Source organism: Homo sapiens, chromosome 15 (genome assembly GCF_000001405.40).
Source record: "Homo sapiens chromosome 15, GRCh38.p14 Primary Assembly".
NCBI lineage: Eukaryota > Metazoa > Chordata > Mammalia > Primates > Hominidae > Homo > Homo sapiens.
Genome location: NC_000015.10, coordinates 101,509,794 through 101,533,765, shown reverse-complemented (window position 1 = coordinate 101,533,765; position 23,972 = coordinate 101,509,794). Strand labels below are relative to the sequence as shown.

The 23,972-nt window shown below is 44.9% G+C and overlaps 1 long non-coding RNA gene across 1 annotated transcript, besides 1 other annotated feature; it reads left to right on the top strand.

The window, feature by feature from the left end:
- Positions 2,789–3,447: an enhancer, noted in NCBI's record as "H3K4me1 hESC enhancer chr15:102070522-102071180 (GRCh37/hg19 assembly coordinates)". NCBI's record gives its function as "activates a minimal SCP1, AML or CMV promoter by ChIP-STARR-seq in primed H9 embryonic stem cells {active_cell/tissue: H9 hESC(primed)}" and the evidence as "EXISTENCE:reporter gene assay evidence [ECO:0000049][PMID:30033119]".
- On the top strand, positions 5,392–7,001 carry LOC124903567 (uncharacterized). The gene is made up of 2 exons (XR_007064784.1): positions 5,392–5,449; positions 5,906–7,001. It is a non-coding gene; the product is annotated as an uncharacterized LOC124903567 (long non-coding RNA).

Genomic DNA, 23,972 nt, shown 5'->3' with positions numbered 1-23,972 from the left:
TTCCACCAACATTTGGATGAAGAGAAAATACAGGTAGTCCACAGGGGTCCCGTCAGCATCCACCAAGGGCTTGAAATCGGGTCAGACTCCGTGGAGGTACCGGAAGAGCCACGGGCTTCAGTGAGAGCATGGGCTGCACCCCTGCCCGGCTCGACCCTGGAGACACCTTGGGGAGAGGGAGCATGAAACCACAGAGCCCCGGGGAAGCCTGAGGCCACTGGGACCCGTGAGGGGTGTGGGTGGGAGCAGCCCCAGGGCCAGGGCAGGGAGCAGTGGTGGGGAGAGCTTGGAAGTCCTGCTCCTGTGTCCACCCCACTTTATTCCATTCCTCTGGGATAGCAGCAATCCCAGCCCAGCCGCCTTGTGTTGGTGAGGGTCCAGTCCCAGGCGTGCATGGGTAGAGGCTGGGTACATTCCTATCAGCCTTCCTCGGGCACCCCTCCTGGCTGCCCCCTCTGCTCCCCAGGGCTGGTGGGCTCTGCAACCTGAAAAACCCACCTCTTCTCAGGGCCACCTACAACTGTGAGTTAGGGAAAGTGCTGGCAACAGAAGCAACCTCATGGTCTCAGGGCTCATCTCCCATCTCATAACCCCCTTCATGGGGGCCACAGACACCCCGGGCCTGAGCTTCAGCACCTTCCCCATTACCTGTCCCCAGGAGGACATGCACCTAAGATCAAGGCAAATGCAGGCCCCGGGGCACTTCTCTCTCCCAGGGAGAAAACACACTGAGCCACAGTCACCCATCGGAATCTATACTAAGTGTCATAGGTATTCTCAGCTAAGGGGCAGTATTAATAATGGAAAGCAGACAGAGGAACCGTAACAGAGCCAAATGGAAGCAAGAAGGGTGGGAAACATAAAATGCGGAAACACAGATAATGATAAACGAGACCTGCACACTGAGGCTTGCGGCAGGAGCGTCCCAGGCTGGGGGCCTGTGTCACGGGTAAGAGGGGAAGTCAGGTGCAGAGGACCCCCGGGACGCCAGGTCCCCATTAGAAGCAACGGCCCAGATGTGCACAGAGGCAGGAAACTACTATGAGGTTCTGGTGCTGAGTGAACATAGAAACCCATCGAGGCCAAGAGTGAAATAGTCCTTATGTAGGTCAAGAGTACCAAACAGTACTGAGTGACAAGGAATAAGTGGATAAGCAAAACGTGGTCTACGCAGGCAAGGGAAGATGACTCAGCCTCGAAAAGGAAGGAGATTCTGACAGGTGCTACAACAGGGACAGACCTTGAGGACCTTATGCTGAGTGAAATAAGCCAGGCACAAAAGGACAAATACTCTGTGATTCCACGTATGTGAGGTGCCTGGAGTTGTCAAAATTATTGGGACAGAAAGTAGAATGGTGGGGGCCGGGCACGGTGGCTCACCCCTGTAATCCCAGCACTTCGGGAGGCCAAGGCCGGGGGATCACCTGAGGTCAGGAGTTCGAGACCAGCCTGACCAACATGGTGAAACCCCGTCTCTACTAAAAAGAATACAAAAATTAGCTGGGCCTGGGGGTGGGTGCCTGTAATCCCAGCTACTTGGGAGGCTGAGGCAGGAGAATTGCTTGAAGCTAGGAGGTGGAGGTTGCAGTGAGCTGAGACCGCACCATTGCACTCCAGCCTGGGCAACAAGAGCGAAACTCCGTCTCAAAAAAAAGGAAAGAAAGAAAGAGAAAGGAAGGAAGGAAGGGAAGGGAAGGGAAGGGAAGGGAAGGAAGGAAGGAAGGAAGGGAGGAAGGGAGGGAGGGCGAAAGAAAAAGAAAGAAAGAAAGAGAAAGAGAAAGAAAGAAGGAAAGAAAAAGAAAGGAAGGAAGATGGCTTTCAGGGGTTGAGCAGAGGTGGGATGAGGAGTTAGTGTTTAATGGCAACAAAGTTTCAGACTGAGAAGATGAAAAAGCTCTGAAGGTGGATAGCAGTGACGGTTGTACAACAGTGTGAATATACTTAATGCCACTGAACTGTACATATGAAAATATTTAAAATGGTAAATTTTATGTTACATATATTTTACCACAATAAAAATAAAATTAAAAAGGTTCAATCTAGTAAAGAAATAATTTTAGAAACCAAAATAGAATAGTGTGTCTTATACTGGGACACAAGCAAATAAAAGGACACACATTAAAATACTAGAACGCTGAGGGGGGAACGGGCACAAAAGAAAATTAAACTGGCGAAGGGGCCACGGGTCGCAGCATGTGGCAGGCAGTGCTCTCTGCCCACAGCCAGAATGCGGGATCAGGAGTGAGCAGCAAGCAGTGGGGTGACAGATGATCTCAGGGTAGCCCCCCAAGGCTGCAGGAGAGTCACCACCCCACAGCCTAGCCGGTGCCCCAGCACGCCCAACAGCCCTTCCAAACCCCCGGCTCCCAAGAATGCCCTGACAGCCGTCTGGGCTTCCCCTTCCCCTGTGTGGCCTCGTGGAGTAGAGTCCAAATCCCAGCTGCCCTGGACACGCGTCCCAGGCTGGCTGGCCCGTGGCCCATCGACACTGGGCTCATGCACACGGTAGGTGCTCTGAGAGGTTCTGTTGAGTGAGAATAAGTGACGGGAATTGAGAATGGGGAGACCTCTCCTAGCCGGGAGAAATGACACAATGCCGCTTTAGGGAAGCCCAGTGGATGATCCTTCAGATCCCCGGGGGGATAAACCTCACTTCCGATCTCAGGAGCATAGAAGTGGCCCTTTCTCTATTTTCAGTAACTGAACTCAGTTTTAATTTTAAGCGTCAATACCATCAGGTAACAAGGATTTAATCTCCACCTGGGCAGGGGCTCAGGCTTGCAGGCCAACCGGACCCTCTCTAAGCCGCCTTCTTCTCTGACCAATTCTCTGTGGCACGAGGCTCAGCCGGGGACACAGTGGCCCTGCAGTAACTGCGAGTATGCCTAGTCACCTGGCCAAGCATGAGGACCACTGCCGCAGGGAGCAGAGCAGGCCCTGCTGTGGCCTTCAGGACAGGAAAGGTGGAAAAGCCGTTTGTATACTGTGGCTAAACCCTGAGTGCGCGATACCCCTTCCAGGCTTGTAATCCACATTCCAGCCCACGGTGATTGACAGCTGGCACACAGCAGCACCCAGGGCGCCACCCGCCCTCCATGAGTGTGCTGCTGGTTTAATTGATGTGTGCAATTTTGGGGACCACTGAGTCCATCAGAATGCCAAGGAGGAAGGGGGTGGGAGGGACGGCAGGGCAGGGTGTGCCTTGCATGGGCAAAGAGGTCAGAAGTGAGCATTACATCAAGCAGGCCCGCGGCAGCTTTGAAGAGCACCGTCAGGGCAGGAGACAGTCCTCAAGCAGCAGCACAGGGCAGACCCTGACTGTGCGCACCAGGCTTCCCGCCTGCAAAGCACTTCTGGTTAATCATCAGAAAGGGAATATTGTAAAAGGGTATCAAGTGGCTCACAGACAACTCCCTGCTGAGTCACTGTGGGGAAGGGTCAGGAACCTGGAGGTGCCAAGTGGCCACAGCTATAGCCCCAAGACATGTGGCTAGGACACTGCTGGTGCTGAGCATGCACTAGCCACTGCTCTTCGCACCCAGGACACTGGGGCACTGCTCTGCCACCTGGGAATGGGGGGACGGACCCTGAAGTCTCCGTGCCTCCTGGGCATGTGGCTGCACAGCCCTGCTACCCCCCACCGGTGTCAGGGAGTGCACGTTCTTGGCCTTTTAGGCTTCTGTAGAGGGAAGCAGGGTTTTGCCTCCCACTAAGACGGTTCACTTCTCAAATGTTAAAAGGCTGTCCTGATGCTGCATAACCACAAAATAAAAAGCATCCAGAAGGCCAGGCGTGGTGGCTCACGCCCGTAATCCCAGCACTTCGGGAGGCCGAGGCGGGTGGATCACTTGAGGTCAGGAGTTCGTGACCAGCCTCGCCAACATAGTGAAACCCCATCTCCACTAAACATACAAAAATTAACCAGGCGTGGTGGCTAATGCCTGTAATCCCAGCTACTTGGGAGGCTGAAGCGGGAGACTCACTTGAACCTGGGAGGCAGGGGTTGCAGTGAGCCGAGATCACGCCACTGCACTCCAGCCTGGGTGGCAGAGCAAGACTCCATCTCAAAAAAAGCATCCACAAGAATGACCAAGTGACTGCTCAATGGCCATGGATGTTTCTGGACCCTGAGGGCCCCTGTTTTGCTGAGATGGAAATCATTGCTGACTCCTTTAATGTTGTTTAATTTTTTAAAAACCTCTTCAAGCATTCCTCTAGATTTCTGGTATTCAGAACTATGCTGTGAACACAGAAAGATTAAGGACTGTTCTTCTAATGCCTTAGACAGCCTGTGCCAATTGGTCTCAGAGTAGAGAAAAATATATTTATGCTGTGAAACCTAAATACCCAAACTAAATTCATTTTAGCAAAGATTAATACGCAGAGCCCCAATTCTTGTACAGATTCCTCAGAGCAGCACGTGCTGTTCGGCGCTTCTTCCTTTATAATAAATGGTCAGGTGTGCAAACAACTGTTTGAAGAGCCATTAGGAGTCAGTCAGCTGTGGTGTGGGCAGAGTGGGCAGTGGTATGCCAGGAAGCGCCCAGGGTTGCAGGTCTAGGGCATTGTGGAGACAGCAGCAGCATTCCTTGGTCCTGAGCTGGGATTCCGCATCCAGTTGGGCCCAAGCGTGATCTGTGTGTAGTTCCATGAGGCCTGGGTGGAGGGTGTTGGGAGTGATAGAATGTTTGGAAGGAAGTACAGGGGAGTGAGGCCTGATTCACCCAGGCTATGGGGCTGTGTGAAAATGGCCAGGCTCTTGAATGTTTGGCACATAGAGGAGAAAACTGTCATGAACAAGACTCATAGCCCCTGAAAATAGGCAGCTTGTCTTCTCTGCAAGACGGCCTGGCTGGTGTCCCTGCAAGCCCAAGTGTGAGCTGGGGGATTCGCAGGCAGGCTGGTGACACTTTCCATCAGTGGGAACCCCTCTACTTTCGAGCACCTGCCCCCGACTTCATGCAGGGAGTGCACGAGGAGTCTGCCTGGGACTGTGGATGGGCCTGAAGGACAGCCCAGCCTGGGACTGTGGGACGCAGCTGTCCAGCGAGGTGCTGGCTGGCCGGCCAGCAGCCACCACCCAGGCCCAGCTGCAGGGCTGGGTTTCCTGCAAACCGTGATTCTGGAGCAGGGTAGGTGACCCCGAACTGCCTGTTTACAGTTTTCATGCACCCTGGGGACACCGTGAGCCTCCCCAGCCCTGTGGCCTTGAGCTGCTGTATTCTAGAAATACCGGCAGCTGCCTGTCCCCTGAAGCCTCCCCACAGCTTTGAGCAATGATGAATATTGGTTAATCTCTCCTGTAAACAGCTGTTTTCCCGGCAACTGCCCAGCTCGTGTTAAATATTAACAAAGAGCCGCCTCCACAGCCGCTCACAGGGTGTCTGCTTTAAATATTTAAGAAATTGCTGTTCCTGTCCCTGAGTGACTCTTTGGCTCAAACTGTTCTGTAAGTGTTCTTGCCTCCCTGGTGACTGCGTTGTGTGAAATGTCCGACATCCCTGCTTGCTTGCTCTTTCTTCACCCATTGCTCTCTTTGTCTCTGTCCTTCCCTGTCTCTATCACTGTCTCTCTGTCTCTCTCTCTCTTAGTGAATAGTACTAAAAAATGTAAACGCTGAGGGTTGCACTCAGTCCTGGGTGCTCAGCCAAGCTGCCTGGAGATGCCCCAGGCAGGCTCCTGCTCCATCGAGATGCTGCGGAAAGCAAGTGGCCTTTAAGTGTTGCTGCCTCACACGCTCATGGTTAGGTGTGAATAGCTGGGGCACCCCACCCCTCGCCCCCATCTGGGGGTGTGTCTGCACACGTGTACTCAGGTGCCCAGAGGGTTGTGGAAATGCCGTGACCGTGTGTAAATCCTTTACATCTAAGTCCTTCTCACTGTTGGCACTTCCCATTCCCTTCAGGGTTTGTGGAAGACACGCCTGTTTTCTTCCCTGGGCTAACTGTGAAGCTCAGAAGAGGAAGAAGGGCCCGGATGGCAGATGAACCGCACAGGGCTGTGTGGCCTCAGCCCCGCAGCTGGGGAGCTCAGTGGCCTCCTGGAGGAGAAGCTGACTTTGGAGGACCTGGAACACCATGGCTGCTGGGAGTTGGGGCTGTGCGGGAGGCTTCTGTCTCTGTGTGGCGTTTGGTCATAACCACTGGACTTTGGAACATCCTGCTTAAAACCACAACTTTGGCTGGGCACGGTGGCTCATGCCTGTAATCCCAGCACTTTGTGAGGCTGAGGTGGGCGGATCGCTTGTGCTCAGGAGTTCAAGGCCAGCCTGGGCAACATGGCAAAACCCTGTCTCTACTAAAAATACAAAAATTAGCTGGGCATGGTGGCTCACACCTTGGGTGGCTGAGGCAGGAGAATCACTTGAATCCAGGAGTTGGAGTCTGCAGTGAGCCAAGATCACTCAACTGCACTCCAGCCTGGGCGACAGACTGAGACCCTGTCTCAAAGAAACAAAACAAAACAAAACAACAGCAAAAACCCCCACAACTTTACCTAGACTCATCTGTGAAAACTTCAGTGAATCCGGCCTCAAACTGTCGCTATGGGGGAGCCACTGGCAGCTGAGTTTGTTTAGATTCCTCCTTCCTGGGTGAGACCTGGGGTTGGAAACACCATTGAAATTCCCTCTAGTAATGGGCTCTGTCGTCCAGAGGAAGGGGCAAGACTCCCCCACCCCCACTTCTCACCCCTTGCCCGGGGTCTCTTCTCCCTTCCTGACCAGGAGCCTAAGGAAGGCCTCAGGTAGAAATAGAGAAGCATCTTCCTCCCTCTGGGGCCAGAGATTTCCAGCCGAGTTTTGTGAGACTCCAAGACTGCTGTGCGTATCCTCAGAGCTGCTGAGATCACCTCAAAACAAAGCCCGTTTAAAGTCACTTTCATTTATTTCAAGAGCTACTGTGAACCTCTCAGGATAAAATGAAAATGAACTTCAATTCACTTTAATTTTTAAAAGATATGTTCGTTTAATATCCTTTTTAAAATAAAAACAGGGAAAAAGACGTAGTGGTTTCAAGTTTGCAATTCCCATCCGGCCCAGGTGAGGCCACAGGGCCACCTCCCGTGAGAAGAGCGTGGCCTCAGGAGGGCAGGTGGCACAGTGCATGAGCCTGCGGCGAGTCTCGGGCTCTGCCTAGGGTCGGGGGAGGGGCTCTCTGCATCTCACTCTCCCCAGTTCTAAACGGAGAAAGTAGTAGTACCTGCCTTAGGGTGTTGGTAGAGAACTGACTTAGATCTTGCCGGTAAAACTCAGGGCCTGCAGGCGTGACCTTACAGCAGGTGGGCTACAGGCACAGTCCTGGCTACAAGCCGGGCAGCTGTCTTGTCCCAGGAGACCAGGAAAGCCTCCAAGACACCATGGGCCTATTGGTAGGGGACAAGTGGGCTTCCCTGCCAGGTGGCCTGGTGACAGGGTCATTAGCAGTTGAAAATTTTGAGAAAATGATTCTGTGAGCTGGAGGGCAATTGGACGGGTGAGGATGGAGGAGAAAGCCAAAATCCGCAACTCGGATCACTGTCAGGGCGAGGCTGGGAGTGGGGGAGCGGGGGATCCCTCCCCAGAGGAGCACAGGCTGCAAGCTGGTGGCCTGGAGGCCTGGGGGAGAGGAGCGCAGCCAGGGCAGGACTGTTGCTGGAAGTCTGTGGAGGAAGCTGCCTTGTCAGTCAGCCTCCCGACCCCAGGCACACAGCGATTACAACCTCATGCCAAAAAACAAAAACAAAAACAAAAACAATGCTCTTTTGAAAAGAAATTGAACAAACTACCAGACTGGGCCCCATCCTTAAACCTCATTTAATTTTTTTTTTTTTTTTTTTTTTTGAGACGGAGTCTCACTCTGTCACCCAGGCTGCAGTGCAGTGGCGTGATCTTGGCTCACTGCAACCTCGGCCTCCTGGATTCAAGCGATTCTCCTGCCTTAGCCTCCCGAGTAGCTGGGATTACAAGCATGTGCCAGCATGACTGGCTAATTTTAGTATTTTTAGTAGAAACGGGGTTTCGCCATGTTGGCCAGGCTGGTCTCAGACCCCTGACCTCAGGTGATCCTTCTGCCTCGGCCTCATAAAGTGCTAGGATTACAGGCATGAGCCACCACATCCAGCCTCATTTAACTTTAATTACCTTTAAGGGCCTTGTCTCCAAATACAGTTGCATTGGGGGGCAGGGCTTTGACATAAAAATCTGGAAGGACGCAAACATTCATTCCATAGCACTCAGAGAGCAGCAGCTACAGGAGGTCACTGACCCCCTATAGAACTGGAGAATGAAATGGAAAGTGAAGCTACGAGAGCTCATGAGCACGATTGCCCCTCATCCAGAAACCAGGAGTTACCCTCTGGCCGCTGCTACGGAGCCTAAACATCAACAGCTCCGCCACTATTGTGACACCCACCACCAATCTGCAGATTGCAGTCACTCTCAGCTGCCAGCTGCTCCCGGAGCTGGAGAAGGGGACATGCTTTCTCCCATGATCCAGCCTTCCAGCCTCCAGTGCCTCTCATTGGCCGGAAACTTGCATCAGGAGAAGCTGGGAATATAGTTCATAGGCTTCCAGCCCTGGCAGTTACAAATGGGAGTATGGAGTGACAAGTTAGAAGCTATGTCCACAGATAAATAAACAGCACAGATTGCAAGACAGAGAAGCGCAATCAAGAGGCAGTTATTCTTCGTCCATGAGAAAAATGAAAGGTAAATCAAACATGGGGGGGATATCAAAAAGTTGTCTGTGAAAGCCACAGTCTAATCATGAAAAAACTAAAAATATGTTATGGTTTTCTGTTTTGAGACGGAGTCTCGCTCTGTCACCCAGGCTGGAGTGCAGTGGCATGATCTTGGCTCACTGCAACCTCCACCTCCCAGGTTCAAGCAATTCTCCTGCCTCAGCCTCCTGAGTAGCTGGAACTACAGGCACCTGCCACCACGCCCGGCTAATTTTTTGTGTTTTTAGTAGAGACGGGGTTTCACCGTGTTAGCCAGGATGGTCTCCATCTTCTGACCTCATGATCCGCCCGCCTCGGCCTCCCAAAGTGCTGGGATTACAGGCGTGAGCCACCGCGCCCGGCCACGTTATGGTTTTGAGCAAGAAGAAAGTTTATGAGAGACAGAATGCATTCAGCCTTGACGCTGAAGTCATTCTCTCCTGTGGCCCCGGGAAAGCCACCAACCACAGAGAAGGAAGCCACTTGGCTGCTATGAATGGTACTTACAAAGTTGTAAAAACGCGAATGCCGTTGACTTGTTTTCAACACAGATAAAACTTAACAAAGAACAGAAAACTTAATTATGCTCATCAAACAGAATATGATGCCATCCTTGGTGCTGCAAAAGAAAAACCCACGGGATGGAGGAAGAGAAGGGGAAGAGGGGAGGGGAGACGGAGGACAGGACAGGGCTTCAGAGGCCTCCACGGTGTGCTGAAGATTCAGCAGTCTCAGCTGGATGGAAAAGCAGTAAATGCCCAAGTCTATATTGACAGGTGCGAATCTAACGAATGTGAAAACTAACAATCGTGACTGAGAGGAGGTGGGGGAGGGTAAATGAGGGAAATTCTCATTTTTTAATAGTGCAGAATCAGTAGATACTGTTGAAGGATGACAAATGAAGAGGTGACGGAATAAGCATATTGACTAAAGTTATGATGGTGGATAGATTGATTTTTTTTTCTTTTGAGACGGAATCTCGTTCTCTGTTGCGCACAGTGGAGCTCTTAGAGGTGTTGACAGAGTCTAATCGCATCCCTTTGACCTGCGAAGCTCTGAGGAGGGAGGGTTCCAACAGCCACCTGTGACCAGAGTCCCTGTCTCAGCACCCTGCAGGGCAGGTGACCTTATGGCCAATGAGACACAGGGAACATTGGCTGTTCCCTCCCTGATGAGCAGGGAGGAGCAGTTTGAGGCCATGATGCACAGAACGAGGTGGCTGTGTTGTGACTGCCAGGGAGGGAGGAGCCACCAGCAGCTGATGGGACAGAGGAGAAGGATAAAGGAGAGGCTCTGGTGACAGTACTGGGCACTGTGCATGGCGGGGGACTGCCTGCCTCCCAAGTTCTTGTTGTGTTGACAGAGATGACAAAATGTCATCATTGTTTCAGCCGCAGCTCACTGGGTGCTTGGCAGCCCACTCCCCCAGCGGGCCCAGGAGCCTGGCGGTACCGTGGCTCCTCCTAGTGCAGGCGCTCGGCTCAGTCTTCCTCATGGAAAGGCTCCAGCGGGCCCCGGTCTCACAGGGTGGCCCAGCTGGCTGTCAGGCTTGCTCCTGGGGACACCTCAGGCAAGACAGGAGAGGTGCTCTGTGCCCTCAAGCTTTCATTCATGCACTGGTTCTGTCGGCGAATGTGTTGACACGTGCCACACCAAAGCTGTGTGGTGTGGACCTCATTACCTGTCATCTTTCTAACTTGACTGCAAACTTCATGTGGGGAGGACAGTGGCCTGTGTGACCCAGATCCTCAGTGGCCAGCCCTGGGAACGGCTCATCATCTAGGGGAGGAAACAGACTCTCATCAGATCCAAGCCCAGCTCCTAGGGGTGGTGATGCTGCTATCTAAGCAGGACCCTCTCACACACCCCCACCCCACCCAGCTGCATGGCTGAGCCCTGTGGCTGGTGGCACTTCACACACATCATTCTATGGCTGCCACTGGTATTTAGTGTCCCCTCGTCCTGCCTGGCCCCTCCAACAGGGTCTCCTTTCTTCCAGGGCCCTGACATCTCGTGGAGACACTGCCTCCCACATCTCTCCATGTGAGCAGTTTCCCCAGCCCTGCCTTGCTCCTCTCTCTGCTCTGCTGCAGTGCCTTCTCCTAATACCACGGGAATGCTGAAAGAGGTCTCTGGGGAAGCAGCGCCTTGTCACCTGCAGGCCCAGCAGCCGCAACTCAAACACACTGGCACAAAGTTGCACTTCATTTACTCCACTTGATTTCTGGGATTCCAATTCCAGTCCGGGAAGACGTGTAAACAAGGATGTTCAGATGGTGGTTGCCCTGGAGGGTGGGCGTGGGGGCAGGTGTTGATGGCAGTGGGGCACAGGGACGCCTCCTGGGAGCTGCTGATGTCTTCTGTCTTGGTCTGGGTGCGATTTACAGGGGTGGGCTCGGTTTGTCAAAATTCGTCGAACTGTACTCATATGATGCTGTATGTAATATGTCAATAGATGGAAAGGTTTCTGTGTGTGTGTGTGGTTTTTAAATTTTTGATTTAAAAATAAGGAACACTCAGAGTAGCATTTCACGTTAGTGAACAAAGGTAGCACAAGGCAGTGCTTCCCTGCAAGTTGAGTCCTTGCCCCTTTTCACAGGGGCCCTGCCTCTGTCTGTGCCCTGGCTGGGGTTCCCACTCCGTGGCGGTAGCTACAGGGAACCTGTGGGCACCCGTCTGTCTTTGCTGTCGTCCTTGCTTTTCTTCCCCTGGCCGCCTGCTGGGATTGTCGCTGGATCTGAAATTGGCCTGTTTACTGCTCTGGAGTTTCCGTGTTGATCATTCTGTGGGGTGGTTGCTGCAGGCCTGGGGCCGTTGGGCGTGGGTTTCACCAAATGCAGTAATGTTTCTATCCATCCATGCCTTTACAACATTTATATGAAGGGAATTAAAACCAAAGTATCTGCCACGATAAACGGCCATACCCTTGGTTCCTACCAGACCTTCCTGTAGAACTGGAGCCTGGCTCAGTTGCAAGAAGGATAAACTTAATATTAATGATAATAATACTTTGCACTTGGTCTAGTAAAAACATTTTGAATATAGCAGAGGCAAGGATGTGAATGTTTGCTTGGCGCTATTTATCAGGAAGTGCTTCTGCTTGTTTATTATGTTAGGGCTTTGTATACAGAAACTATTTTTTCCTCTCTTACCACCGAGGGCCATATTTCTCGTTGGTTGCTACATCCAAAGTTTAACAGGAAGTTGCTGGTCATATTTAAATGGTATGCTTTTAAAACGTATCTGTAAATAGCTGAAGACGGAATGGCTGAAGGTGTGGAGTTGATATTCTCACTCACATTTTTGCACTTCAAATTACCTCTCAGTCGTTGTGAAACAGGAAATTTGAAAGCACCATGTTCAGGAGGTTGTGACACTTTAATGCTTATCTGTCCTTGAATCTGTGGAGGTTTAGAGATACTCAGAAAATAAGGAAGTTGTTTTGTTTAATTGCAGGGTGGATCTGAAGAATTACTTTGGTTATATCTGAACTTATTTTACGAAAGCAGAAGAAATAACTTGGGAGAAGAAAAGTCAGTATCTATATTCTCTCCTAGTTGACATGGGGAAAAAAAAAGACCTTTTCTATGTAGCATGGTAGCTGTCTTCTCTGCAATAATTATTACAGAGTTCTCTTGCAGATCCCTCATTTCCTCTGGGGGCCACCTCCTCGGTGTGTAATGCATCACCTGTGGGGACTCTCTGGCATCAATAAAACAGCAGCACTGGGATGATGGGATGGAGCTGCTCTCAGGCAGCAACAGGTCCCTTGGATGCGTATTGCAGCAATCTGTCTCCAGCACCAGACCTTGGATAATGTATTATTTGCAGGATAGAATCACCCAAGGAGCAATATACTCAGGCTCTAACTCAGTTTAATTCCATGATGCAGCTTCAGGTTGCTTATTGGGTCCACACTGCAATAATTCAGCATTTGTAATCCTTTGGAGTCACAGATCTCGCTACAGCAAATTTGGCCTTAGATCCATCCCAGGTGACTATATTACTGCCATAAACTAGTGGACATAGAGTCTGTGCATCACAGACCCATGGCACTGGCTGACTCAAGAACTTGGAAAGCCTGTTGACTCCTACTTAGATGTCTCTCTAGGTTAAGAAAAAAACAACTACGGGTTGATTCTGCAGGAGCTTAAGGGCTTGTAAAACTAGGGGTAAAAAGAGTTCTGGTTTAAGATGGTGGATTTTACACATGGATTTTTCTTTTTCCTTCCAAATCCCACTAAAGAAGTACAGAATGAAATAACCTCCCAAAACAGGAAGGAGAGGTGAAGAAGGGGTTACATGCAATCAAGGCACGGGCACAGGGAGGTGGAACGCAGACGGTGTGGGTTACAGATGTGGCAGAGCCAAGGACAGGGTGCCAGGTCAGAGACACGAGCAGCGGGGGCACAGCAGTGGCCAATTCTCCCCACAGAGCTCGGAGAGGCTGCAGGCTAGAGCTGGCAGTAAGGGAAGGGATCACACAGAAGGTTCTAATAAAAGGTTGTCAACAAAACACTTGTGCCAGGCAGTCCCTTCCCTAAACCCCTCCCTACTTCACAGAGAGACTGACAATCAGATCTTCACCCCCAGGCAAACAAAGCAACAAGCTAGAAGGCTCTCTCTAAGGACACACACCACGGAAATCCAAGGTTCTAGTGGAGGGGTTGGTGCACTCCTATTCTAATATCAAAGGATGCTCCCAAGACCATTAAAATCCTACAAAGTCTACTGGTGTGCAAGCGCCAACACCACACATGAGCTCCCATTCAAATGTTTTATTACCTCAACGGTGAGGCCCATGGAAGACACACAGCATGCCAGCTACCGTGAGTGTGATCCTTCATCCTCACATATGAACAAAGGACAAAGGACCACCAGGCACACGGGAAAAGTGAGCCATCCGATAGAAAAAGACCAAGAATATTAAACAGAATAGCTGACCCCATAGGAAAGAAAGGTAATCAAGGGAACATTTATACAAAGAGATACAAATAGGAGAGAAAACATAAGAGACCCAAAGGATTACTCCAAGAGGGGGCAACACCCAACTAACAGTTTCAGAGGCAGAAAATGGAGAGAAAGCTATTATCAAAGACAAAACAGAGATTTTTATAAAGAAATCTACCTTCTGGCTTAACATGGCAAAGACAACGCCCAATTTACTGCTCCCTTTAAAAACTTCAGCAAAATGGCAATGAGAGGATAAACTTGTAACGACAATGAGAATGGGAGGACAGTCTGAAACCATCCACCTGGAAGCTGGGAGGCAGACGGATGAGTGGTGACTGTTAACAGGGCCAGGAAAGCTGGAGCTCTCACTGGCTCTGAGGAAAATCCAAAAACGGAAGAGCCCTAAAAGTTGGAAGCGTTAGTTAACTGAAACCGAAGGGGTTGAGTGAGGCTCAAAAGAGGAAGATTGACTGAAAATCTGAAGAAGAAATAGGTAGACCTCCCGGGATCTGCTACAATAAACCCATTAAAATACAAAGATACAAACAGGTTTAAAATAAGAGTTGAGAAAAGGCATAAAATAGATTTAAAAATATATACTATTTGAGCACTCATTCAAAGAAAGCAGCAGGTGCTAACAGGTATGAAATTTCAGAGCAAATGATATTAGCAGAGGTAAATCGGGAAATTTCATAAAGATAAAAGAGGCAATTTACCAAGAACATATGAAACAAACCTAAACATTTATGCACATCATAGCAGAGTTTCAAAATACATGAAACAAGAGTGAATAGAACTATAAGGAGAAATGAGCAAGTCCAAATTGTAGTTAGAGATTTCAACATTTTATTCTCAATAATCTGTAGAACAAATAAATAGAAAAATCAGTGAAGATACAGAAGACTTACAAAATACTTTCAACCAACATGATCTAATTGATATTTATAGAACATCCTACCTAACAACATAAGAATACGTTCTTTTGCAGTGCATATGGAGCATTTACTAAGATAGACTATATTCTCAGCAGAAAAAAAAAACCGTCTATAAATGTATAAGGATTTAAATCAAATAAAGTATGTTATCTGGAATAGTTTGTGGAGAATTGGTGTTAGTCCTTTTCTTCTTTTCTTTTTTTTTTTTTTTTTTTTTGAGACAGAGTTTTGCTCTGTCACCAAGCCTGGAGTGCAATGGCACAATCTCAGCTCACTGCAACCTCTGCCTTCTGGGTTCAAGCGATTCTTCTGCCTCAGCCTCCTGAGTACTGGGACTACAGGTGTGTACCACCACGCCCAGCCAATTTTGGTATTTTTAGTAGAGACAGGGTTTCCCATGTTGGCCAGGCTGGTCTCGAACTCCTGACCTCAGGTGATCCACCCACCTTGGCATCCCAAAGTGCTGGGATTACAGGCTTGGTTAGTACTTTATTAAATGTTTGGTAGAATTCAGCAGTGATGCTATTAGGTCCTGGACTTTTCTTTGTTGAGAGACTTTTTATTACTGCTTTAATCTCCTCTCTCACTATCAGTCTGTTCAGATTTTCTATTTCTTTGTGATTCAGTCTTGGTAGGTTGTACATGTCTAGGAATTTATCCATTTATAAATTTCTTCTAGCGTATGTGACTTTTTGGCATATAATTATTCATAATAGTCTCATGATCTTTTGTATTTCTGTGGTGTCAGTTATGATGTCTCTTCTTTTATTTCTGATTTTATTCATTTGAGTTTTTCTCTTTTTCTCTTGATTAGTCTGGCTAAAGGTTTGTCAATTGTTTATCTTTTTTTGAGAAAAAACAACTATTTCGTTGATCTTTGGTTTTGGTTTTCTAGTCTCTATTTTATGTACTTCTGCTCTAATCTCTATTATTTCTTTCTTCTAATCTTGGGCTTAGTTTGCTCTTTTTCTATTTGCTTGAAGTGTAACATGAAGTTTTTAATTTGCAAACATTTTTTCTTTTTTGGTGTAGGCATTTATTGCTAAAAACTTTCCTCTTAGAACTGCATATGCTGCATCGCATAAGTTTTGGTATATTGTGTTTCCATTTTCATTTGCTTAAGATATTTCTAAATTTCCCTTTTAAGTTCTTCATTGACCCATTAGTTGTTCAGGACCATGTTGTCCAATTTTCATGTACCTGTGAAATTTCCAAAATCTATTTTGGTATTGATTTCTAGTCCAAAAAATTAAGAAGAAAGAATACTTACAAATTCTTTTTATGGGGGCACCATTACTTTGATACCAAACCAGAGAAGGACATCACAAGAAAAGAAAATTACAGGCCAATATCCTCAGTGAACATAGTTGCAAAAATCCTCAACAAAGTTGCAGCAAACAGAATTAAATAACACATTAAAAGGTTCATTTACCACAATCAAGTAGAATTTATTTCTGGAATGCAAGGATGGTTCAACTTATGCAAATCAATAAATGTTATACACCATATTAACAAAATAAAGGACAAAAATCATATGATCATCTCACTAGATGCAGAAAAAGCATTCAGAAAAACACAGTGTAATTTCATGATAAAAACTCTTAATAAATTAGGTATACACCTTTATGAGCTATTACCTCATACCTGTTAGAATGGCTATTATCAAAAAGACAAAAAAGGCTGGGCATGATGGCTCATACCTGCAATCCCAGCACTTTGGGAGGTCAAGGCAGGTGGATCACAAGGTCAGGAGATCGAGACCATCCCGGCTAACACAGTGAAACCCCGCCTCCACTAAAAATACAAAAAATTAGCCGGACATGGTGGCACATGCCTGTAGTCCCAGCTACATGGGAGGCTGAGGCAGGAGAATCACTTGAATCCAGGAGGCAGAGGTTACAGTGAGCCAAGATCACGCCACTGCACTCCAGCCTAGGTGACAGAGCAAGACTCCATCTCAAAAAAAAAGACAAAAAAGTGTTGGCAGGGACATGGAGAAAAGGGAACCCTTGTACATGTTGGTGGGAATGTAAGTTATACAGTAATTAGGTAAAACAGTTCAGAGGTGCCTCAAAAAACTAAAAATAGAATTAACATATGATTTAGCAATCCTATGTCTGGGTATTTACCTGAAAGATTTGAAATCAGTATGTTGAAGACATGTTTGCCCTCCTATGCTCATTGCAGCACTATTCACAATAGCCAAGTTATGGAATGAACTTAAGTGTCCATCAGGAGGTGAATGGATTTTTAAAAATGTGGTAGAAACACACAATGGAATGCTATTCAACCTTTAAAAAGGAAGAAATTCTGTCATTTGAGATAACAGGGATAGAATCAGAAAACATTATGCTAAGTAAGCCAAACACAGAAAGACAAATGTCACATGTGCTTACTTATATGTGGAATTTAAAACAATTGAACTATAGAAGGTAGTAGGATGGTGGTTATCAGAGCCTGGGGTATGGGGGCAATAGGAAGATAATAGTCAAAAGGTACAAAGCCTCAGTTAGACAGGAAAAATACATTTGATTTGTGTGTATAGAAACAATTGTACAGCATAGGAAACATAGCCCATAATTAAGTCCTGTACATTTTAATATCACTAAGAAAGTACATTTCTAATGTTTTTATCACAAAAACATCAAATATTTGAGTTGATGGATATGTTAACTAGCTTAATTTAATCTTTTCACATTGTATTAAAAGATAATAACACCACTTTTTCTCCCATAAATATATACAACTATAATCTGTCAATTAAAACTTGAAATTAAAAAAGTGTTCTCTGACCACAGTGGAAGTAAATTAAAGGTTAGTATTGCAAAAGTATCTGAATATCCCCCCAAATATTTGGAATTTAAGTAATACGTTTAAAAATAATTCATGGATCAGAAAGAAATCAAAAGAGAACTAAATCGAAAGAGAACTAAATCAAAATGAAAATTCAGCCTACCAAAATGCGTGGGATGCAGCTAAAGCAGTATGCAGAGGAAAATATATAGTCCTACAGGCTCATATTAGAAAAAAAGAAAGGTTTTATATATGCAACTTCAGTTTCTAACATAAGAAAAAATAGGAGCAAATTAAACTATTAAACTTAAAGCAGAAGAAAGGAAACAAGGTAAGAGTATAAATAAATAAAATAGAAAACAGAAATACAATATAAAAATCAAGGAAACCAACTTTACTATTTGATAAAATCATTAAAATTGATAAGCTTCTTGACAGGAAAATCAGAAAAAAGAGAGAAGATACAAACTATCAACAAGAATGAGATGTGACATCATTACAGACTCTACAGATATGAAAAGGAAGATAAGAAAATATTATAGATAACATTATGCCAATAAATTCAGCAACTTAGACAGATTTCTTGAATGACACAAGCTATCAAAGCTCACCCAAAAAGAAATCAAGATCCATAAAAAGGAATAAAGTTTGGATACATGCCGCAACGTGGATAAACCTTGAAAACTTTATGCTAAGTAAGCCAGACACAAAAGGACAAATATGGTATGGTTCCAATTATATGAGGTACCTAGAATAGACAAATTTATACAGAGGAACAGAGGTCACTAGGGGCTGGGAGGAGGGAGATATTGTTTAATGAATACAGAATTTCTGTTTGGAATAATTTTTTTAAGTTCTGGGAATAGTGGTAATGAACATTGTGAATGTACTTAATGTCACTGAATTATACACTTAAATGGTAATTTTGTGTTAAGAATATCTTATCACAATAAAAAAATCTGAATAGGCCTATATCTATTAAAAAATAAAATTTGCAAGTAAAAACCTTTCCTGAAAGAAAACTCCAGCTCTACATGACTTTCCTAGTGAATTCTACCATACATTTTAGGGAATAAATAATACCAGCTCCACACAAACTCTTTCAGGAAATCAAAGAGGACAGAATACCAACTCATTCTATGGAGCCAGGATTACCCTGTTACCAAAATCAGAAAAAGACAAGCAAATACCTGTCATGAGCATAGATGCAAAATTTCTTAATGAAACTTAACAAGCTGAATCTAACAAGAAATAGAGTGAAAATACTTCATTACCAAGTAGGGTTTAACCCAGAAATGCAAGATTGGTTTAACATTTGAAAATCAATTGATGTGGCCAGGGACAGTGGCTCAAGCCTGTAATTCCAGCACTTTGGGAGGCTGAGGTGGTAGGATCACTTGAGCCTAGGAGTTTGAGACCAGCCTTGGCAACATAGCGACACCTCGTCTCTACCAAAAATTAAAAAAAAAAAAAATTGACTGGGTGTGGAGGCTTGTGCCTGTAGTCCCAGCTACTCAGGAGGCTGAGGTGAAATGATTGCTTGAACCTGGGAGGTCAAGGCTGCAGTGAGCCATGATCACAGCGCTGCACTCCAGTCTGGGAGACAGAGTGAGACCCTGTCTCAAAAAAAAAAAAAAAGAAAGAAAAAGAAAAAGAATTAATCATATTAGCAAACTACAAAAGAAAAATCACTTGACCATCTCCATAGATGTAGGAAAAGTATTTAACAAAATCCGACTTTAATTCCTGATAAAAACTCTCAGCAAACTAGAACATCATACTTCATGGTGAAAACAGACTGTTCGAAACCACAAGAAGATAGCACTGCACACCTAGAAGAGTGGCGCAGATCCAGGGCACTGACGCCACCAAACACTGCCGAGGATGCAGAGCAAGAGGACCTCGCTCACTGCTGGTGGAAATGCAAAACGGTACAGCCATTTTGGAAGGTAATTTGGCAGTTTCTTACAAACTAACCACATTCTTACCACATAATTCAGCAATTTCACTTCTGGGCAGGTACTCAAATGAGCTGAAAATACTTATGCTGATATAAAAACCTGTGCACAAGTTCATAGCGGCTTTATTCATAATTCCCAAGTTAGAAGCAACCAAGACGTCCCTCGGTAGGTGAATGGACAAATAAACTGTGGTACATTATACAATGGAATATTATTCAGCACTAAAAAGAAATGAGTTACCAAGCTATCAGAACCTCTTTTTTTTTTTTTTTTTTTTTTGACAGCGTCTCACTCTGTCACCCCACTGGAGTGCAGTGGTGCAATCATGGCTTTTTGCAGCCTTGAATTCCTAAGCTCAAGCAGTCCTCCCACCTCGGCCTCCTGAGTAGTTGCAACTACAGACACGGGCCGCCATGCCCAGCTAATCTTATTTATTTATTTATTTATTTATTTATTTATTTAGAAATGGGGTCTTGCTATGTTGCCTGGCCTGGTCTCAAACTCCTGGTCTCATGTGACTCTCCTGCCTCAACCTCCTGAGTAGCTGGGATGACAGATGCAAGCCACCACACCTGACCGAAGGAAACTTGGATGCATGTTACCAAGTGAAAGAAGACGATCTGGAAAAGCTGCATACTGTATGATTCTAAATATATGACATTCTGGAAAAAGCAAAACTATGGAGACCGTCAAAAAGATCAGTGGTTGCCAGCAGTTCGGGGAGAGAGGGACGAATATGAGAAAAGAGGATTTTTAGGATGGTGAAGCTACTCTGTATGATTTTATAATGATAGATACACGTCATCATACACATGTCTAAGCCCACAGAATGTACAGGGGTGAATCCTAATGTAAACTATGGACTTTCGGTGATAATGATGTGTCAATGCAGGTTCATGGATTGTGACAAATGTACCACCATGGTGGGGGCTGTTGATAATGGAGGAGACTGTGTGTGGTGTGGGGGCAGGTATATGGGTAGTCTCTATATTTTCTGCTCAATTTTGTCTGTGAACCAAAAACTTCCTAAAAAATAAGTCTATTTTTTTAAAAAAGGAAAAGCAGCAACCATGTTTCAGTACATTGTGTTGTATCAAATAAAGTCACCACTCCCTCACAAGATTTCTTTTATGATTACGACTTTGTACCTCTAATAAAAATGATCTTTTGAATGAAAAAAAAACTTGAATGCTTTTCTTCTAAGATTAGAAGCACACTAGGGTGTCTTCTTCTGTGTGAATAGAAGCTTCTGTGCTTCTTTTATTCAGCCTTGTCCTGAAAGTTCTAGACCATTAAATAAAGCAAGAAAAAGATAGATGGGAAAAAGGAAGAAAAGTTGTATCCAAATGGAAATAAAGAAGAAAAACTGTCTTCATTTGCAGACATGATCGTCTATGTAGAAAATCCTGAGAGAACCTACAAAATAAACTACTAGAACTAAGAAGTAAGTACAACAAGTTTGTAAGATATAAGATTAGCACACAGCAGAAACTCAAATGCGTTTCTATACATTAGCAATTAATAATTAAAAATTGAAATTTTTAAAAATAATACCATTTACAATAGCATGAAAAATACAAAATACTTAGGGGAAAATCTAACCAAAGGTGCATAAGACCTTTCCACTAGAAACAACAAAACATTGCAGAAAGAAATTAAAGAAGATCTAAATCAATGGAGAGACATGCCATGTTCATGAATCAGAAGACTCAATATTATTACGATGATACTTCTCCCCAAGCTGATGTATACATTTAGCATCAAAATAATCAAAATCCCAGCAGAGTGTTTTGTAGAAATTGATAAGCTATTTCTGAAATTTATACGGAAGTGCAAAGGACCTAGTATAGCCAAACATATTTTGGAAGAAAAGAACAAATGTGAGGACTTTCCCTACCCAATTTTAAAACTTACTATACAGCTCCAGTAATTAAGCAATTTGGTTCCTGGCGTGAAGACAAACAAGCAGATTAATGGCAGAGAGTAGAGTCCAGACATAAATTCATGCCTATAAGGGCAACTGATTTTTGACAAAGGTGCCAAGGTTATTCAAAGGGAAAAATTCAACAAACTTCATAGAAACAGTGGATACACACACGTGAAAAAATAATGAACCTTGATTGTTGGTTCATATTGGATCATAGATCTAAATATAAAACCGCAAATCTTCTAGATGAAGAAAACAGAGAAAATTTTTGTGAGCTTGAGTCAGGCAAAGATTTCTCAGCTGTGGCATTGAAAGCACAATTCAGACAAGAAAAAACCTGATAGTTTGCACTGCGTTAATGTTAAACTTTTAAACTTTTCTGGTTTTTTTTTTTTTTTTGAAGAAAAGTTCTTAACTTTTCTTCAAAAGATGTTGTTGAAAGAATATACAAGGCACAGACTTGGAGAAAGTATTTGCAAATTCATATCTGATAAAGGCTTGGATCCAGAATATATAAAGCAGTTTCAAAATGTGATAATAATCAACCCACCCATTTTATTTATTTGTTTACTTATTTATTTATTTATTTATTTATTTATTTATTTGAGACTGGGTCTTGCTTTGTCACTCAGGCTGGGATGCAGTAGTGCAATCTCAGCTCATTGCAGCCTCAATCTCTCAGGCTCAAGGGATCCTCCCACCTCAGCCCCTGGAGTAGCTGGGACCACAGGCATGCACCATGACACCTGGCTAATTTTTTATTTTTAGTAGAGATGGGGTCTCACTCTGTTGCTCAGTCTGGGTCTCCAACTCCTGGGCCCAAACGATCCTCCCATCTTGACCTTCCAAAGTGCTGGGATTACAGGCCTGAGCCACTGTGCCCAGCCCACCTATATATATATATATATACACACACACACACATATATATGTGTATATATATATAAATATATATATGTGTATATATATATATATATATATATATATTTTTTTTTTTTTTTTTTAATGGGCAAAGGCTTTAAACAGACCACCAAAGAAAATATTCAGGCCAGGCGCTATGGCTCACGCCTGTAATCCCAACACTTTGGGAAGCAGAGGTGGGCAGATCACTTGAGCCCAGGAGTTTGAGCCAGCCTGGCCAACATGGCAAAACCCCATCTCTACTACTAAAAATATAAAAATTAGCCAGGTGTGGTGGTGCGTGCCTGTAGTCTCAGCTACTCAGGGGGACTGAGGCATGAGAATTGCTTGAATCCAGGAGGCGGAGGTTACAGAAAAAAAAAATAAGCACATAAAAATATGTTCAATATCATTCGTCATTAGGGAAATGCAAGCTAAAATCCCTATTAGATACCACTATGCACTTTTTAGAATGATTAAAATTAAATAGTCTGATGACTCAAAATGTCAGTGAGGATAAGAGCAACTGGAAATCTGGAAAGCTTCTGGCGGGAGTGTAAATGATGCAACCACTTTGGGGAACTGTTGGCAGTGTGGGAGGTGTCTTCTGACTTGACTCCCAATGACCCCAGTGCCTAGTATTCATGGCTTTGTGTAACCCCTCTCCGTGAGTAACTTTCTCCTAACCAATGTAATACAACAACATTGAAGGGATGGCACTTCCATGTCTAGGTTACAAAAGACTGTGACTTCTGTCTTGTTAACAGACTCTCTCCTCCTAGCTTTCACGAAGCAAGTCACCGTATTGGAGAGGCCTACATGGAAAGGAACTGAGGGATGTCTCCAGCCAACAGACAGAAAGAACTAGGGCTCTCAGCCCAGCAACCCTCAAGGAACTCAATCCTGCCAACAACCACATGAGTGACTTTGAAAGTAGATCTCTGCTCAGTTGAGTCTTCAGATCAAACCTCAGGGCTGCCTAATGCCTTAACGGTACTAAGCTAAACTATGCCTGGATTCCTGAACCACAGAAATTCTGAGATAATGCATGTGTGTTATTTTAAGCTGGGGAGTTTTGGGGATAATTGCTTATGTAGCATTAGATAATTAACATAGGCAATTTCTTAAAAAGTCAAACACACACCTATCATAGGCTATAACCGTTGTACTCTTGGTATTTACCCAAGAGAAATGAAAACATATGTCCACACAAGCTCTTGTGAACAAATGTTCATGGCAGCTTTATGTGTAATAGTCTAAAACTGGAAACAACTCAAATGCCAATCAACAAGTGAATGGATTAAACAAATCGTGGTATACACAATATACAGTGAAATATCATGTAGGAATAAAAAGGAATGAAATGTTGATATGTAGAGCATGGATAATTTCAAACTTATTAGGCACAGTGAAAGAAGTCAAATAATAAAGAGTACATAGTATATGATTCCATTTATATAAAGTCTAGAAAATGCAAACTAATCTGCAATGAAAGAAAGCAAATCAGTGGTTATTTGAGGATAGGATGGTGGGGGATGGGGTGGGGAAGAAGATGTGAGAGGGATTATGAAAACACATAAGAAAACTTTGGGGGATGATGAATATGCTTACACTGATTATAGGGATGGTTTTATGGGAATATATAAATATACATATATATAATATGTCAAAACTTAGCAAAGTTTTGTGGGGAGTTAAATGTGGAGAGTAACATATTAGTATACATCAGTGAGGCTGAAAAGGGGAGTATTGTTGTAGAAAGGGACATTTAGAAAACAAAAATGATTTTGGAATTTTAAAATCCAAA